At 40.3% G+C, this 18,222-nt stretch overlaps 1 long non-coding RNA gene across 4 annotated transcripts in view; it reads left to right on the top strand.

Annotated features, from left to right (window-relative positions):
• Positions 1–1,592: 1,592 nt before the first annotated feature.
• The window catches only part of LNCARSR (lncRNA regulator of Akt signaling associated with HCC and RCC), a 50,080-nt gene continuing 33,450 nt past the window's right edge, over positions 1,593–18,222 (top strand). For 2 of the 4 annotated variants that reach the window (NR_184113.1, NR_184112.1), the window contains exon 1: positions 1,593–1,913. This is a non-coding gene — a long non-coding RNA (lncRNA regulator of Akt signaling associated with HCC and RCC). Of the gene's footprint in view, positions 1,918–18,222 lie in introns of all 4 variants that reach the window. The other 2 variants (NR_184111.1, NR_184110.1) reach the window with 1 other exon arrangement.

Below are 18,222 nucleotides of genomic sequence, written 5' to 3'. Positions count from 1 at the left end.
ATGGCACGATCTCGGCTCACCGCAACCTCCGCCTCCTGGGTTCAAGCGATTCTCCTTCCTCAGCCTCCCGAGTAGCTAGGATTACAGGCATGCGCCACCACACCCAGCTAATTTTTTGTATTTTTAGTAGAGACGGGGTTTCTCCATGTTGGTCAGGCTGGTCTTGAACTCCTGACCTCAGGTGATCCGTCCGCCTCGGCCTCCCAAAGTGCTTGGATTACAGGCGTGAGCCACCGTGCCCAGCCTCTTTTTACTTTTTTAACTTTGTTCCTAGAAGATTTTAAATTATGAGGCTTACATATTTCCATTAGACAGCCCTGCCCTGAAACCTTCCCAAGAATCAAAAGTGAGAAGACTTTAGTGATACAATTTGCACACGAGGACAGCGAAGTTTCTAAGAACACCAGCAACAACCATGTTTTATTCTAAGGTTGGTTAGTTGCTTGCTCCCACTAGAGCTTTTCAATGGTTTGTGAAATCACCCACAGTGCCTCTGTAGGAAGTTCCATGTTCTCTATTTTAGCCAGAATGTTAGCAAGTTCCATGAGAACAGGGACCTGGTTGTGTTCACAGTTGCACTCCAAACTCCCCAAATTATGTCTGCCATCACTGTCTGGTAGTTGGTGCTCAGTAAATATTTGTTGATGGCATTAATGAATGAATACCTCATTGCATCCTTATAGGAAGTTTCCACATCATTTGGGTCATATTTATTGAAATTCTGTGCAGTTTTCTCTCAGGACAGGAAACGAGAATTCTAAGAATAGAACCCGAAGAACTATTGAAAGGGTCAGTGGACAAAGAGGAAACTTTGCTCTGTTAGGAAATATCAGATCACTTATAGCAAGGATCTTTCCCCTAATCTCTCTCGATGGTTTGTGTCAACAGGAAAGTGGCTAGAGAAGTCAAGATGTTTCTTTATTTTTTAAGTTCTGTATTAAAATATAGCCCTTGGATGTGTTTCACATTTTGGCCACGTGGCAGAGCTATGTAACTCACCTCAATGTCTCAGAAAGATGCAAATGCAGCAACTGGCGGCCCAGCCCTAGCCGTAACACAGACTGTAAGTGGGGCTCATGGCCACTTTTTCTCCTTTTCTCTGCTGTGCTTCTCTCATTGCACTTCTCGCTAACTGTTGAGCCAAGCTATGATGTTATCTGGAGGCCTGTCTTATCCCTACCACAGAGTGGGGGGTAGGTGGGGTGTTCCAGAGTTTTCATGTGGGAGGCACTTGGCAGCAACTTTCATGTTAAAAGCTAGGCCTGAAAGCTCCAATCTTGAAGTGACATATGCCAAGCATGCTTTTCACTTTGGTTAGATGTAAATCATTTATTTATTACTTCACCAAATATTTATTAAACCTACTATGTGCCAGAATATGGGGATTTCACAATAAAAGTGGCTATTATTAATATGTTGCCTCTTAGCTCCAAATTCATCCTCATTGCCTGCCTAGTGAAACTGAATCTGAGCCCTTTAAATATTTTCCAGCTGTTAAAAAAGCTAGGTCAATAGAAGGCGCTGGAGAGACATTGCAGGAGGAAAGGGTTTGGTTTCCTGGTTCCTGGCTCTGGTTGCATACTGGGCAGGTTCCTACAGCACAGGTAGCAAGCAGCAGCACCCAGCAGCCAGCAGCTTCCTCCAGAAGCCCCTTAGGTGGCTTTGGAGCAAGTGCCTCTAATGAGTCACCTCCCTCAGCAGCTTTCCTTGGAACCCCAGAGAATGGATTTCCAACGAGTTCTGGAATGTGGATTTCTAGCAAGTTCCAGAAGGCAGAATTCTAGCAGGGCTCTCCTGCTATTCAGAAAGTTACAACTGTGCCCTCTCCAGCAAAGTCTGGATCTCAGCCAGCCCTAAGAGTGTGTCTGTGTCTTGGAGGAGCTCTTTTTGAGATGCTGTATCTCAGCCCTAGGGTTAGTAAGTAGCTGTTCCTTATATCTCTATTTCTGTATTATTTAGAGCTCTCTTTACCTCTTACCAATCTCCCTTTGATCCAATTCCCTGTTATAGGTAATAATTTTTTATATTGAACTTTCCTTGTTGAAATTACTGTTTTTCTCTCTTGATCGGATCCCGATTGATACAGTAAACAACATAAGCAAAGTGTCTTTCTTGCTGGAGCTTACATTCTGATGGGGGGAGATAGACAAACAGTTGCATAATATGAAGGAGTGACAGGAGTAGTAGAACTAGTTCAGATGGGAGTTCATAGAAGCCTTCTTGGAGGAGGTGACATTTAAGCAGAAGCCTGAATGCCTAGAAAGAGTCAGCCAAAGCAAAAATCACTGAGAAGCAAATTTCAGGTGGATTCAAAAGCCTCATTTGAGGAAGTGTTGGTGAATGTGAGCATTTTTTAAAGACTGGTACATGCTAGACACAGAGTAATATAAGATTAGGTCATGGCTACATCACTGGGTTCTGGTCACATTGAACTTCTTATGCCTAATAAAAGCTTTCATTTTCTACTCTGATTATAATAGCCATTGTGGAGGGAGAAAGGCTCGTAAGCAGGGAGTGACAAGATCATTACAAATATCAACTTGGTATAAGGTGCCCACGTTCATACTTGACCTAAGATTAAGAAAGTACCCTTTGTCATATTAAAGAATTATCAATTGTTTTTAATTGGGGGCAGCTGATAAAGAGTACAGAAGCACATATGCTGCCCTTCCCACACACATCCTTTGGTACTGCCACTACCTCACCCCCACTAATGAGTGATGGGTCCATTTTAATTTGGAAAGAGGATGCCTATGCAAGTTTGAATGTCAAGCTCTGCATTGAATATATAGCTAGAACAGCAATGATCATAGAGAATCAAGGACATGCACATCCATTTCTAGATCTGCAATTGACTTGCTCAGAAACCATCCTCCCATCTATGTTAAGATAGAGAGAACTGGACAGAAAACTCATTATTGAAAAAGATTCAGGACATCAATGCTAAAGAGAGTGACAAATTTCTTAACTTGTCTGGTTAGGTAGAGGTTTGTTGCCAGCTGCCTCAATGTTTAGTGGTGAAGACTGCCAAGCTATCTTTGTGTTGGGATGTCCCTTCTTATCTTGATGGATAAAAGGAATGTAGGTACCCGTTGCCTTTTTGTGGGGAGGGAACTTGGCTTGGGAGTGCAGTGGACAAATTTGCATAGGTACTAAGGAGGCTTCTGGGACAAAATAACTGTCCTTATTGAAACGCTACATTATTTGAATGCTTTGAGATTATCCCTAATTAAGTCTGCAGGCAAGAAGGAGCACTGAAGCTTTCTCTTCCCTCCCGGAGATTATGGTGCAGACACAGTGGTGTATGTGGGAGGGGCTATCTAGAACGCAGCTGAAGTCAACAGGAGAATGGACCAGTGACCCAAATTCACTAGCTGCAATACAGAGGCAGGAAGTATGGATCTTTCTCATTCGGAAATAACTCTTTATTGAAGATACAAATCTCCTTTTGGATTAGACATCCTGGCATTAATGGGGTGCTTCGGGATAAATAGCTGAGTGTGTGAGGAAGATAAGGCTGCATAGCACTTTTATAGGCACACCTTATGTCAACAATGGAGCTGAGGGAGACCCTGACTTCTTGCTAGTCTGAACAGTTGTCTTGAATAGTTAAAAAGAGCTGTGAACTTATTTATACTCTATAACAGAGATCATATCTAAGAAATACACTACTAAAAATGACTCCCTTACTTGAGGAACGCTCACATTGTCTTTAATTTTCTAGAATCTAGAAGGGATCTTTAACAGCTGCTTCTGTTTCATTCCCCTGCCTTTAAGCAAACAAGATATTATTATCCCCACTTTAAAGATTAATCAACTGAGGCTCAGAAATAAGTCACTTGCCCAAGGTTATATGGCTTGTAAGTACTGAAGCAGAGATCAGAACTCTTGTCTCCTACCTCCTGATTTAATACCTTGCATAAACCTGAATTCCACAAATGAGTATTCAATTAAAGTATGTAATTTGAGCACTATCCAACTCACCTGCCTGGTTTACTCCTTTTCAAGCAGATGTTTTATTGCAAAAATGGGGGCAGAGGGTGAATCAGGGAGATGACTGTGTTGCAGCTGCCACTGTGCAAAGGCTGAAACTGAGAATTACCATGGCTGCAGGAAGCATGGCTCACTCCCTTCAGCCTCCGACCTCAGAGTGTCTGAAGGCTCAGTAAGGAAGTTCCAAAGAGATGCACAGTGCTGAAGCCCTAGTCCTTTTACTTTCAACTAACAGCAGGGTTCACACCTATGCAGCTGCTCTTGCCGTGCCTTTCCACAGGCTCCCACTCTTGCTAACTATCACAACAGCCTATAGGGCAGACATTACAGGAGAAAATCTGCGCATTTCCTTTCTGAAATGAGTGGTGCGGGAATGGGGTAGGTGTAGGAAAGTGTAAGTAAACATCTTACTGCTTTGTACAAGAAAATAATTCATAAGAGTCTAGTATTATTTTTATTTATTTATTTTTTGAGATGGGGTCTCACTCTGTTTGCTCAGGCTGGAGTCCAGTGGCGTGATCTCAGCTCACCGCAACCTCCACCTCCCTGGCTCAAGCGATTTTCCCATCTCAGCCTCCCAGATAGCTGGGACTGCAGGTGCAGGCCACCACACCTGGCTAATTTTTTGTATTTTTGGTAGAGATGAGATTTCACCATGTTGCCCATGCTGGTCTCTAACTCCTGAGCTCAAGCCATCTAACCACCTCAGCCTCCCAAAGCTCTGGTATTACAGACATGAGCCACCACGCTTGGCTGGAAAGTCTAGTATTATTTTCATTAGAACTGGGGGTCAATTCACGGTCTACCATGATCTGGCTAACTTTGGGTAACCCCTTTAACCTTTCTGGTCTCATCTATGTTGTGTTTTATCCTTAAGGGAGGTAAGTATGATCTCTAAACCCCTTTCCCCTAAATGCAAACATTTGCTGCTCTAAAAAATGTTGTATTTTATCATCTCAGAGTTGGTCATATGGAATGGATTTTGAATTAGGATCATCTGCTGAGGTTGATTATATTTTCCTTACCCCTTTTTAATACTTCTGAAAAAATTATCTCTTGCAATGAAGATTATTTGGGGGAAAGTGGCTGCAGACGCATTTGTTGAAAATTGATTAGTTGTCTCATAAAATGATCTAAACTGTAAGGAACTATATTCTTAATGCTACTATGTGGGCTCCTACTGCTATAATTCAATTCAGGACTTGTCCTCAATATTATGTAGCCCGGAACAATTCTGGTAAATCACATGACTTCCTTTAATAGCAATCCTTGTAAAATAGTGTGAGTGAGCCATCATTCACAGTGTAATATCTAGTCCAGTGCACTACTACTTTTCAAAAAGACAATGATATTCTGAGAAATTTTCATTCATGGGGACACCCTCTGCTTCTGCTCCTTGCTTTTATATAGAACAAAATTTGAATGCTTTTATTATAGGTTTTTATTAAATATGTCTGCAAGAAAGACCATTTGATACCTTATTTTTATATGAACCCCGAGTGTTTACATAGTGTTGTTACATATTATTACCTCTGGTACTATGTAAAGGTACCAGCAGAGAAGCAGAATGGGTATTATAATCCCCATTTTACAGACTAGGAAACTAGGTTCACAGAAACCAATGGCCTCTTGAAGATTATACAAGTAGTAAAGCAAACAAGTTGGGAATCAAACTTGACTTTTCAAATTCCACTTTTTTTCTATTCTACTAGAGCTGACTTTTTTTTTTTTTTTTTTTTTTTAGACAAAGTCTCCCTTTGTCACCCAGGCTGGCATGCAATGGTGGGATCTCAGCTGCAACCTCTGCCTCCCAGGTTCAAGCAATTTTCGTGTCTCAGCCACCTGAGTAGCTGGGATTACAGGCGTGACCACCAGGCCTGGCTAACTTTTATATCTTTGATAGAGACGGGGTTTTGCTATGTTGACCAGGCTGGTCTAGAACTCCTGACCTCAAGTGATCCACCTCCCTCAGCCTCCCAAAGTGCTGGGATTACAGGTGAGAGCCAGGGCGCCCAGCCTAGAGCTGCCTTTTAATGCCTTACAATGATTATTATGCTTTGTGCTTTACAAAGTGCTTCCACATGCCTTTTCCTTCCTTCCAAAACCTTGTTGGATGGGGAGAGCAGGTGGTGGTGTGACCATCTTAAAAATTTGAAAACTGTAACTCGGAGAACAGTGACTGGCCTGGCTCAGAGTTGGTGTGTATGTATCAATACAGGTACACACCAACTCTACAATCTAAGTGTGTATGTATAGAAAGGTGTTATCAGTATAACCCATATGTCAGGAAATGGATGCCCTCATCTCCAGCCTCTGCTGGATTCCTTGTTTTTATAGCTTTAGACAAGAATGACTCACCATCAACCCAAGTACAATAAGAAGTTCAACATCCTTCTCAGTAGCTCCAGGGATTGCTGTGGGAGTACCTCTGTTTCTCTGTCATTTCTTGTTTCTGATGAAAGCTTGATCTCCCTTCTATGCCCCCTGCTCATCTGTCCATTTTCCACACCAGACTACCCTTTGGGACATCCCGTACTCTTCTGAAGTACCGTGACCCAAGCCATGTGTGAATGCCTTTACTGAAGTTTTGGGGGATGGAGGGAGTTAATGAGTCAGACGGGCACACACTGAAAGTGGAATAACAACCATCCCCATCCCTTGGTTATATCTGCCCCTTTGAAATGCTCAGTAGCAGAGGCCACTCAGTCACCATTCAGTCTAGCAATTCTCCTTCCCTCATCTACTCTCACCTCATAGAAAATCTATGATTAGCATGATTGGCATACTTTTCCCCCGTACAGCTGCTACTGTGTAGTGTTTTTATAGCTTAGGGTAGATTTCTGAATCTGACTAATTTTTGCAACATCTATATGAAAGAGAGAAATGCAAAAATAACTCGCCATTCCCAATTTGTAATCCAGACTGAGGCACCTTTTATAATTTTTCCAGTGAGAAATTAAAGAGAAATTACAGTTTTTAAAAGGAAAGTCATTCTGAAAATAATCTTATAATCTCCAGGAATGACTTTCATCAAGGACTTAAAAGCAATAAAGAACTTTTTCCTTTATAAGGTTAAGAAATTTGGTCCTTATGCTTTCTTGAAAGGAAACAGTTTATTTTTAAATCCTTAGAGGAACTTATATTCTTTGAAATTTTTAACATGTGATTAATCATTCGGAAAATTATTTATTATGATCGCAATTTTCATATATAAATATATTTTCATAAGACATTGAAAATGTGAATGAATTGTCAGATATTTATTGCAAATTAAATTTGGAAACATTTTTATAACATTTACATTGCTGGCCAGCAATCCTTCTCTAACAACTTGCTCTGAAAACAGTAAACATGTGAATCATGTTGTAAAAATTAGATTCAGAGATCTCCTCTAACCTATAAAAACTATAATAATGGCCAGGTGCGGTGGCTTACACCTGTAATCCCAGCACTTTGGGAGGCCGAGGCAGGCAGATCATGAGATCAGGAGATGGAGACCATCCTGGCTAACATGGTGAAACCCCATCTTTCCTAAAAATACAAACAATTAGCCGGGCATGGTGGTGGACGCCTGTAGTCCCAGCTACTCAGGAGGCTGAGGCAGGAGAATGGCGTGAACCTGGGAGGCAGAGCTTGCAGTGAGCCAAGATCGCACCACTGCACTCCAGCCTGGGTGACAGAGGGAGACTCTATCTGAAAAAAAAAAAAAAAAACTATAATAACTGTACTGGGCAAAAAGTATGGTTAACTGTACATTTTCTATCAGTTCTAGAGCAGGATGTTTAAAATACCTGAACACAACCACATTTAACACTTAGCTTTTGAAAATTTGAGAGAACTTTAGATTTTTGATGAATGAGGGATGTTAGTCACATACATTTTTGAATTATTTATGCAATGCTTAGGAAAATGTATAATCAAAGTTGCATCAAAGTAAGTTTAATTAAATTTTTATTATCTGTAAAGCTACTGCATACACAACTAGAACTTTACTAATTATTAAAACCAAATATATACAAAGTCATAGCTTAGGGAGGAAGAATTGGCAAATAGAGTACTAACTAGTAATTCAACTGAATATTTAAATATATAAAGGGATGTATAATTTTGTTTTTGATATTATAAATATAAAGACTTAGAGTACTGGAAAGTCTCTAATATGAATCTTGCCTCACCAAGCTCTCTTATATCCTGGAAAGGACTTATATTTATTCCACAGCTAGGTTCTGTAATCAACCCCATTGGTAGCTAACATTTATTGAGTGTGCCACACATCCTAATATAAATGATTGAATACAATCCCATAATCTCCATCTCATCTTCTTTTTAAAGGTGAATCCATGGAGCCTCAGGTTCCCTAACTTGTCTAAGTTCAGCCAACCAGCAAATTCAAACCCAGGACTTTTTTTCCTCTGGAAGGGTTTGTTTTGTTTGCTGTTTTCCAAGCTGCCTTCACATCAGAAAGAAATGATATTTAGATACATAATTTTGATATGAAATGTGTTTTGCTTTCTTCATTTTGTTTTCAGGGAATAAGTTGTGGTTAATAATATATTTTATACATCTATGTTGCAAAATCTTTAGAAGAATTTTGATGTGAATTAGTAAGTCAACAAAATGGTTGCTAAATTTATATTTCCTCCATTGAACAAGGTTAAATTCTAATTCATTTGGAATTGTTTTCATGTTCTGATGAATAATCAAATGGCCTATTCTTTAAGACCACCTTTTTACTTTTAATTCTCAGCAGAGAAATAATCACTAAAATTAGTGTTTAAAATATAGAACTAGGAAACATACTTAAATAACTTTCCAAAGCCTATAGTTACCATGATACCCTGGGAACTTAGAAATAGTTTAAGTTTCAGGCATGGTAACATGCAAAAAATATTCAATCATAAAGGAAGATATCTTGACTAGCAGACACACACACACACGCGCACACACACACACACACACACAGCCCTGTGTGTGTCAGCAATTGATTTCATAGATAATTTCCTGTCCACTGATGACTGCCCCCAAATCTTTCTTTAAGGGCAAGGGAAAACTGAGAGTACTTAATAATATAGCTTAATTAGCTGTATTTCTTATATTTACACTAATAATGTTCTGATATACTTGTTTTGATAAGATTAGAAAACAAGCAAAGCTAGTACAAGGCACTATATTGTTTGAGAAGATCTTTGATACATTTTAGCTTCACTGTTCCATAAAGATTCTTTTTTCTCAGTAGGCTTCACTTGAGATAGTCTAATATAAAAAAGAATATAATATTCATAACTTTTTTTTTGCTAACAAACTTAGATTTATGAGAGACAAACATCAGAGATATCAAAATTTCATGTCAGAGTTGAGAACAGAAATAAGCCGAATTCAACTTTTGTTTTCTGAAGCCCTGCTGAATACATTGTCTGGATTGTACCACAGAATGCTGAAAGCAAAACACGGGTGGGTCTATCAAACAATCCCTGACTCTGTTTATAACAACTGAAGCTGTGCCTTTCATATCGGATTCCCATCAGAAAGGGCAGGGGGGAGGAAGAGATAAGCTCATCAGTGAAATAGTATCCTTTAACAACAACCAGTTACTTCCTGCAATCAAAACCATGCTAGCATGTGGCTTGTTCAAATAAAAATTACTGGACTGGAGCCAAACAAGGAAAAAGTAATTGATAATGTGGTTTTTCAGAAACCATCCATCCATCAAATGTGTCAGTCCTTCATAATACTTTATTTCCCTTCTGAACAAAGATCTTTAAAATTCATTGTGTGCACTTAAAAACAAAGTGTCCTTGTGCTGGTTTATAAAGATTCTCTTTTAGTTTGGGTTTGTTTTGTTATTTGATTACATTCCCTCCCATCCTGCATTTTTTTTCTCCCAGATAGTTGCTGGAAATTTCTGCCATTCTTAAACAAAGCATCTTTGTGCTGTATCAGCTTGCATTTTCCTTGGATTGTGTTTGGATGATGCCTTTTCACTGACTTCAGCACTGGAGTATTGTAGCCATAGCCTTAGTAAGTAGAGTGTAACAAACAGATTCACCAGCCCTTTTTGTGTGTTGCATCCTATTAATCGCTGGTGAGAAACACTTCTTGGAGTAAGGCACAGGGCCTATTACAAATAGAAGAAAAAACGGGTGAGGAAATATTGGATCATACTTGCAACTAGAGAAAGCCATTAATAGTCATCATAAAAAGAAATGTCCCCCTTCTAGTAATTCCTCCAATACATATGACAATCTTATAACTAAAACTTTTTATTTATTATAGGATTCTAAAGATCAGTTTGCAAAACTGATAGTACGTTAGCTCACCAGCGGTTTCCAAAAGCAACATCTATAAAGTAAATTTCAGCAACATTCACTCATTTCTCCTCTTTATGACTTCCATATTAAAGCTGGGCTTACTAGAGATTTGATGCTACACACATACACACACACACACACACACATTTTGCCCAGATATGAGCAAGATCTTGTCCATATCTTGCCATATCTTGCCCATATCTTGTCCAGATATGGGCAAGATCACACCTCAAAATGCATAAAGAGATATTAGTTTCCCAAAAATTATATTTTAAATTATAGTTCTACGATTAAAACACTGAAAATATGAGAAATAATGAAGCTTTGGTGAAGAAGAAATGCCACGTGATTGAGACTTTTTTCACTTCTTTCAGCTACCTCTTTTATAAGTCAACACAATCATATTATGATTTCTTTTGAATACTTCTAGCGCTATCAACTATTGACCTGCCAAATACTTTAGAATTGTAGTTAGATTTCGTCTTCAGTGTCTTAGCACATGCTACCAAGGAGCCAGGCCCTTAGGAGATAGTTATTCCTGGGAGGCAGCTAAATCCTGGCCAGAGAAGCCACTCGTGTTACCTCACCAGGCATCTCAGGAAAGTTTCTTTTTAAAGAATGCCAGGAAGAAAAAGTTTCAGTAACAGCACAAAACCTCTATATTACAAGTCCTGCTTCTGAAATTTCTCTTTTGGCCTGCCCCAAATTAATACTAAAAAAGTTACATTCATACCAAGATAATAATAACAATTTTTATTTGTACCTTTTTTTGCCTACGAGATGTTACTACTAGAATACCAAAAAGAAACAAATGTTCACTCCTCATCCAAAGATTGCAACACAAAGAAATACAAAGTATATAAGGCTTCAGGGTTATTTTTGGTGGGACAGATATTATTCATTTGGAAATAGCAAAGATATCAAGTACTAAGTCATCATTCCTGGTGAGTTCCTTGAAAACAAGACCTAATTTAGCTTTTTTTTGTGTGAGAAATTACAAGAAAGTCAATGATACAAATTATATTTTCAAAGGTACTCACAAAAAAGAACTAGAAAAACACATATAAATATTTTCATCCTTTGTTTTTCAGCTAGAATTTGCTGTATGTCAAATTTGTCCATTGTTTCACAGTAGGTCTTGTGAGAAGATAAAAATGAAACAGAATAACTTTTTTTTGTAATATTTTAATGTGCTTTGACTTTGTTTTGTATTTTCTCAAACTGAACTTTTCCCTATTCTGCCAGAGACATCTGAAAAACATGCCTCAGAGAATTTTTGGATTGTTATAGATATGGTTCAAAATGAAAAAAAGACCTAATATTCAATTTTTGATATTCAAAAGGGGATTATGTCACAAGTCAACCTATTGTTGAAAGCCAGGCTTTGTCAAAACAGAAATAACTTTCCAGAATAATCATATTGTGACATCAAGAGCTAGGCATGAGGCTGGGAGTGGTGGCTCATGCCTGTAATCCCAGCACTTTGGGAGGCTGAGGCGGGTGGATCACCTTAGGTCAGGAGTTCGAGACCAGCCTGGCCAACACGGTGAAACCCCGTCTCTACTAAAAATACAAAAAATTAGCCAGGTTTTGGGGTGAGTGCCTGTGATCCCAGCTACTCCGGAGGCTGAGATAGAAGAATTGCTTGAATTCAGGAGGCGGAGGTTACAGTGAGCCCAGGTCACACCATTGCACTCCAGCCTGGGCAACAAAAACAAAACTCCATCTCAAAAGAAATAGAGCTAGGCATGGGTGACTAGATAATGATTTCTTCCATGGAGAGGAGAAGCTAGGCAGTGAAGCTTGCTACCCTGGGATAGCAGAAGGATATAATGATAGGAAATGAAAAACCCCAGACTTATTCCTCTTGGTCTGAGGGTTGTGGGAGGAGAGGAAGGATAGTAGTGGTTAGGCTACCATCTTTTCTCTTGGGGCCAATGTTCCTTGGGTAGACATGTATATCAGAAACATAAATCATTTAACTGATTTAATAAATATCTTTTCACGCTTTTCCATATCTGAAATCAGGATGCATCAGGATGTGTCACAGCTTTCTGGGCATTATTATTAGGTTATTATTATGTTATATTATTAGTAGTAGGAGTAGTACATAGAACAATGGTATATCTCAACACCAATGGCATCTTAGAGTCAACGAAATGTGTTAGGTTGAGGAGAAAGGGGAAGAGAGTGGCGTCTGTGCTCCTTTCCATCTAGGACTCTGTCCTCACAGACTGCTCTCAGCAACCAGGAAGGCCATATGAAAGTAAACCCACATGTCGCCCAGGGTGAGGTAGAAAGTGGACCTCCTCCATCATTTTCTGCTTCTCCATAGCATGAATGAACTCTAGAATATCCAAGGAGGGTCTGGAAAGCTCAAGGAGAGTTAGGTAAGAACCTTCTAGGAGGAGGGCAGTCACTGTGTTAGGGGCAGCAATTGAGGACTGCCTGGCAGAGTGGCTGGGCCTGGATCTCCTGGGAGTCCTGCACCAGCAAGGGTGAACATGGGACTAAGTCACCAGGGAGGTGACCAGCTCTAGATCAAGCTGAAAAAGAAAACTGGCCATGACCTACACTAGTCCCAGGCTCTAGGACCAGGTCCCAGCAGAACCTTCTGGAAAGAAAGCAACCTTCTGTGGTCATTAGTTTCCCAGCTCATGGGTCTTCTGCAGTAGACCTCATGAGAATCCAGGGTGGACTCTGCTGTTCTGAGGACCCTGTCTCCCAACTACTACACAGAGCCACCCAAGCCCCGCCTCTTCAAATGGACACAGGAGATGTCTTGGGGAAGAACATGGAGCAAACTCACAAATCTGAAAGACTGAGCATTTCTTCCAAAATAAGCTGAGTGTTAGGTAGAAAAACTGCCAAAATTAATGAAGAAGATGAAATTTCCTGGGGTGTTAAAATAAGTTTAGCTGTTTCTTTTTTCTTGCTGCCCAGTTAGGTGTTTATCAACTAATAGAAAAATGAAAGAAACTAGTTTCTATCAATATCTGATTAGTAATATAAGTGAATGTGTAATGAAGACACTGCCCTCGAGAAGTCTAGAATCTAAAGTGATAACATGAGAACATACATAAATATAAGTTACCTTTAACACAAATGTCTATGAGAAGTAGACCAACTATCTATGTCTTTGAGAGATAGACCAATTATGCATAAATAGCAAATTGTGATTCTATGATCTGTATTGTAATAGTAACGGTGTTTTATTGGAACCAAAGGATACTGTCATTATTAGGATGATTACTTGTGTAGTAGGAGTGTGCTAGGTGAACAGGGTAGATGTCACCAAGTGGATGGACCATTGTGTCACAATGACATAAAGCACATTGGAACATCCCTTTTAATTCAAATGAATCCCCTCTTTATAAAGCTGGGCTTATTGACTAAAGACCATTATCATGTAAAGAATGAATGAGAGGAAGCCATAAAACATGCTCTTTCACCCCTTTTGTGTTTATAGCTACCCAGAAATGAACATCAATATTTAACTGTCTGGATTATTTTAGGCTTGTAAAAAACCAATTAGCTATGACTCGGTCCCAGTGTTTGGAGCCTTCGTGGAGCACAGTATGGGAGTGTTTAGTTCTTGTGGTCAGAAGCAGAGAGCTTGGAGAAAGGTTAGAGTGGCAAGGGTCATTGCTGGGTTAGTGGGGTCTCGTGGGATGTTGTATCCTGAAGGGGCAGGCCGGGGCCAGGTTACTATGCAGCAGCCCTTGTAAGGCAGTCAGAGAAGGCTTCAGCTGGATTGTTGGCAGCACACAGAACCTTTGGCCACAAGAGCTGCATCCTTGAAAATACATCACAGACTTGAGCCTTTCATTCCAGGCAGTTTAGGACCACCCCTGCCTTCGGGTAGAAACCTCCAGGCTTATAAGACCTTAGTCAGCTGGAGTAATTCTGATTCCTCTGAATAAATAAGTCCTCCTCTCCAATCAAAGCTTACATGTTTTTGTGTGAAAATAAACCCCCATCCTCAGACTTAACAGGTCTTCTGTAGGGACATCTATGTTGGGCCTGGGGCAGAGAGATTGGAGTGTGGGGGCCTGGACTTACGCTCATTAGGAAGTTCTCCTGTTTCCTTAGTGGTCCAGAGTCCCATGGTCTCTGTCTTAGTCCATTTTGTGTTGCTATAAAAGAATACCCAAGATAGGGTTCTCTATAAAGAAAAGGAGTTATATCATTCATGGTTTTGCTGGCTGAATAGTTCAAGGGCATGGCCCTGGCTTCTGACAAGGTCTTTCATGCTATGTCACAACGTGGCAGAGAAGGTCAAAGGGGAGGTAGACACATGGGAAGAGGGGGATATCTGAGGGGCATCCTGGTTTTACAACAATCCACTCTCATAAGAACTAATCCAGTCTCCTGAGAGTGAGAACTCACGTACGTGCTACAGCAAGAATAGCACCAAGCCTGTCATGACGGATCCACCCCAACCCATACACCTCTTAACAGGTGCCACCTCCCAAAACCACTGCTTTGGGGATCAAATTTAAACATGAGTTTTGGTGGAGACAAACCATATCCAAGTCATAGTAGTCTCTGATGCTCAGAGGGCCAGACTTATTGTCTATTTTTTATTAATTCTTTTTTCTCTCAGACATCATTAGTTGTCTACCCAATATCTATTTATCCATATCTTCCTTACTTATGGAATCTCATATCTATTTGTGGCAAGAAAGGAACCAGCCCCAGGCAAGATAAGTGATTTCCCAAACTTCACAGGAGCTAGAGGTCATCAAAGAGGAATAAGTGAAAGTTTTCTGGGTGATGGTTTCTGGGAGATAATTTACCTCTCTCATCAGAGGACAGACTTAGCTGGCATGGCCTTACCTGCCTTAAACTCAGACACATTGTCTGGACCTGCATTGGGGTCCTCATGTGGCTAATTAGAGCACAGAGACCAGAGGCTAGTTATAGTCCACACTTGCATTTATTCAGCAATTACTTATTGAGCACCCACCACATTTCAGGCCCAATGTACAAAATACAGACACAGAGTTCATGTTATTACTCCTATCTATGATTGCATTCCTGAAGGCTTCTGATTGTAACAGAAATCACTGCTGGTTTAAGCAATAAATACATTAAAATATAAATACAAGAAGGAAGGGGGGTATTCATAGAAGATACTGGATATGAAGAGTTTCACTGTGAGACTGAAAAACGTGATTTGAGAAACAGAGGGAAGACAAGAAAGCCAGGCACCAGGAGGCATAGCATGCTCACTCTCAGGAATGGTCAGGTCAGAATCAGAACACCACCGCCAATGCAGCCTTCAAGCAAGGCTGTGACCACACGTGCTGCTGCCGCTGCTGACTTTTGCCCGTATTCAAGAGCTAGTATCGTTGGAGACAGCATCAAATTCTGCTGAGCTTTCTCACATGTCTAGACACCAGCGATTTCAGAAAATGAGTGGAAGCTTTCCTTTTCAGAAAAGGAAAACGATGCCTCCACTGTTGCCCTATTTTTTTGTGGGTGGGGATGATGAGACCACCATTATGCCAAGGCCACAGTGTTGTGCCAAATGCTTGTAGACTCCAAAGGGATATTCCCAGGTTCAAGAGGTCAGAGAAGAGACCCAGAGCCAGCAAACAAGACATGGGGGTTTTACTGGGGGCTTACATGCGTGGGAGAGAGTCCAGTGGTGATGGGCTGGACAGGAGAACCACAACCACTTGCCAAAGGTGTGCAGTTTATATAGCATTTTCACTTAACATCCTCTCCTCTAACAACCTCCACTTGGCAACCTTTATTTAAACTGAAACAAAAGGCCTCAATCCCCTGTATGGCCTGCATTCTATAGGACAGGGCTCAGATGTTCCTCACAGATAAAGAATGGATCTCTAGGTTGACTACTCCCAGATTCCTTAGCTTGGGACTCTGAACATACATTTCAGGTGCTTCCCCCATACAAGGTCCTTCTCAGGAGATGCTCAAGTCAAGTTGTCACTGTCAGGTGTGTCTACCACTAGGCACACTCACAGTTGTAGGCAACCCCAAAGGAGATTGGAGCAACCTCAAGGGACATTGAGAGATCATTCCCCTAAAGGAAGAAGGATCAATGATAAGGAGCCAAGTAATTTTTTAAAAAAGTCCATGATGGCAAAAATTATTTACATAGAGTATTAGAGTTTTCAAGGTGGAAAGCAATAAAAATAACTTTTGTACAGTATTTTAACATTTTCAAAGTGCATCTGATCTTCATAGGACTGAGATGCAGGCAAAGCAAGTATTATATCTGAGCCTCAAAAACTCAGAATCATTTTTATAGGATATAAAGTGTTCAGTTATTGTCTGACATTTTATTTAAGAGGAAAAAGATGTGTAACTTAAGTATGCAACAGTTTCAACTGGGGATGCCTTGTAACTTTTGGAGTACAAACAAAATCTTCTGTGGACAATGTTTATTTATATAAACAAGTGAACTAGTCTTCTGAAAAGTGAAGGTATTCTACTGCGAAGTGAAGGTAATTAGTTTTCATATTAGACTCTTCCCAAATTTTATCTCAAATACTTATCAAATTATGAAATTCATATTTTTAAAAGAAAAATCCATGTAACAGACCTGATCTTAAGCCTAATTGTTATAAAATAAGGGTGGAAAACATGACGTATATCTCATTACTCTCCTATCTCTTGACCTTGGCAGACATAACTAATTAATCACTGCATTCTTTCCCGCAGAATCCAGACTGCCTCAGAATCCCTCTCAGTACAGCACTGTACGAAGCCCCTACCAATCAATCAGAGTTGGCAATTCCAGAGCAGTGTTTAATATAAAGTGGTAGTGGTTAAGGATTTGTTTTGTTTGTCCAGAAAGTTGATGTTCTGGGTAGAGCACCCTTCTTCTGGAAACAGTCTACCAAGCTTATGGCTCAAATCCTGGCAGATTTGACACTATTGGTTAAACTGTCGTCTATGGTTTCTTGGAGTTCAAACCACATGTCCATGAAGGCTGAAGTTTTAGAGAATGTGGTAGGAAAAATATCATGATAGTGAAGTGTGGGGACTTCCTCTTAGGGCATTCAGTATGGTGCTGCAAGAGGAAGCCACACTTTGCCCTTGCTGAATGCAGACTGGCAGGGGAGAGAAATAGCTTTGTTAAGCAAATCCATTTCTGTCCTTCAGGAGCAGTATTATATTGCTGAATGTCTGGTATTCATGCACTGGCAAATTGTAAAAGTCCATTTCTCAGCTCAAGCTGAAGTGGAATACTGGGAAAATCCAGACAAATTAGGAAGTCTGATCTCCAAGCCCTCCCAAGCATTATCCTGGAGTTTAAAGAAAGTTCATTTTGCCTTCCCTCTCTATCCATTCTCCCAACCACAAGACGGAGGCAGAGATATGATTCTTTAAACTCCTAAGCAGATACAAGCTAGGAGAAAAAAGTGAGGATGACGTTTAGTTCAAATATCAGGCCGGACCACATTCCTGGTGCTGGTGACTAGGTGGCTGTGATGTTGCAGAAGAAATCCCAAACCTGAATACTGGAGTCAATGATTGCTTAAGCCCCAAGGAAATCCTTAGGCCTCTGGGATTTCCTGCGCCAACTGTAGGTGAACTGGATGGATGAATTTTTCAAACTTTCCAAGGCTCTTTCCCTTCCCTTAGGGTTGTTGCAGAAAAAAAATTGAGGAGGAAAATCACCCAGCTGGCAGAACCTGAGCTACCAGCTTGGCCATTTGAAGAACTCAATATATTGCCAGGGCAACAATTCAACACACAGATGCCAGTGAGACCCACTAAGACTATCATTTATCTTATTATCCCTGTCCAGCAGGATAATTTTTGTGTTTTTTTCTGTGAAGCTGGAATTATCTTCTTACTAAGGCCATGCATGCAGTGCCTAGTGGTGACTCCCAAAAGAAATTGGAGCCCTTGGGGGCAAGGATCAATAGCATGGATCAGTGCC

Source organism: Homo sapiens, chromosome 9, assembly GCF_000001405.40.
Source record: "Homo sapiens chromosome 9, GRCh38.p14 Primary Assembly".
Taxonomy (NCBI): domain Eukaryota; kingdom Metazoa; phylum Chordata; class Mammalia; order Primates; family Hominidae; genus Homo; species Homo sapiens.
This window is presented reverse-complemented; position numbering and strand designations above follow the sequence as displayed.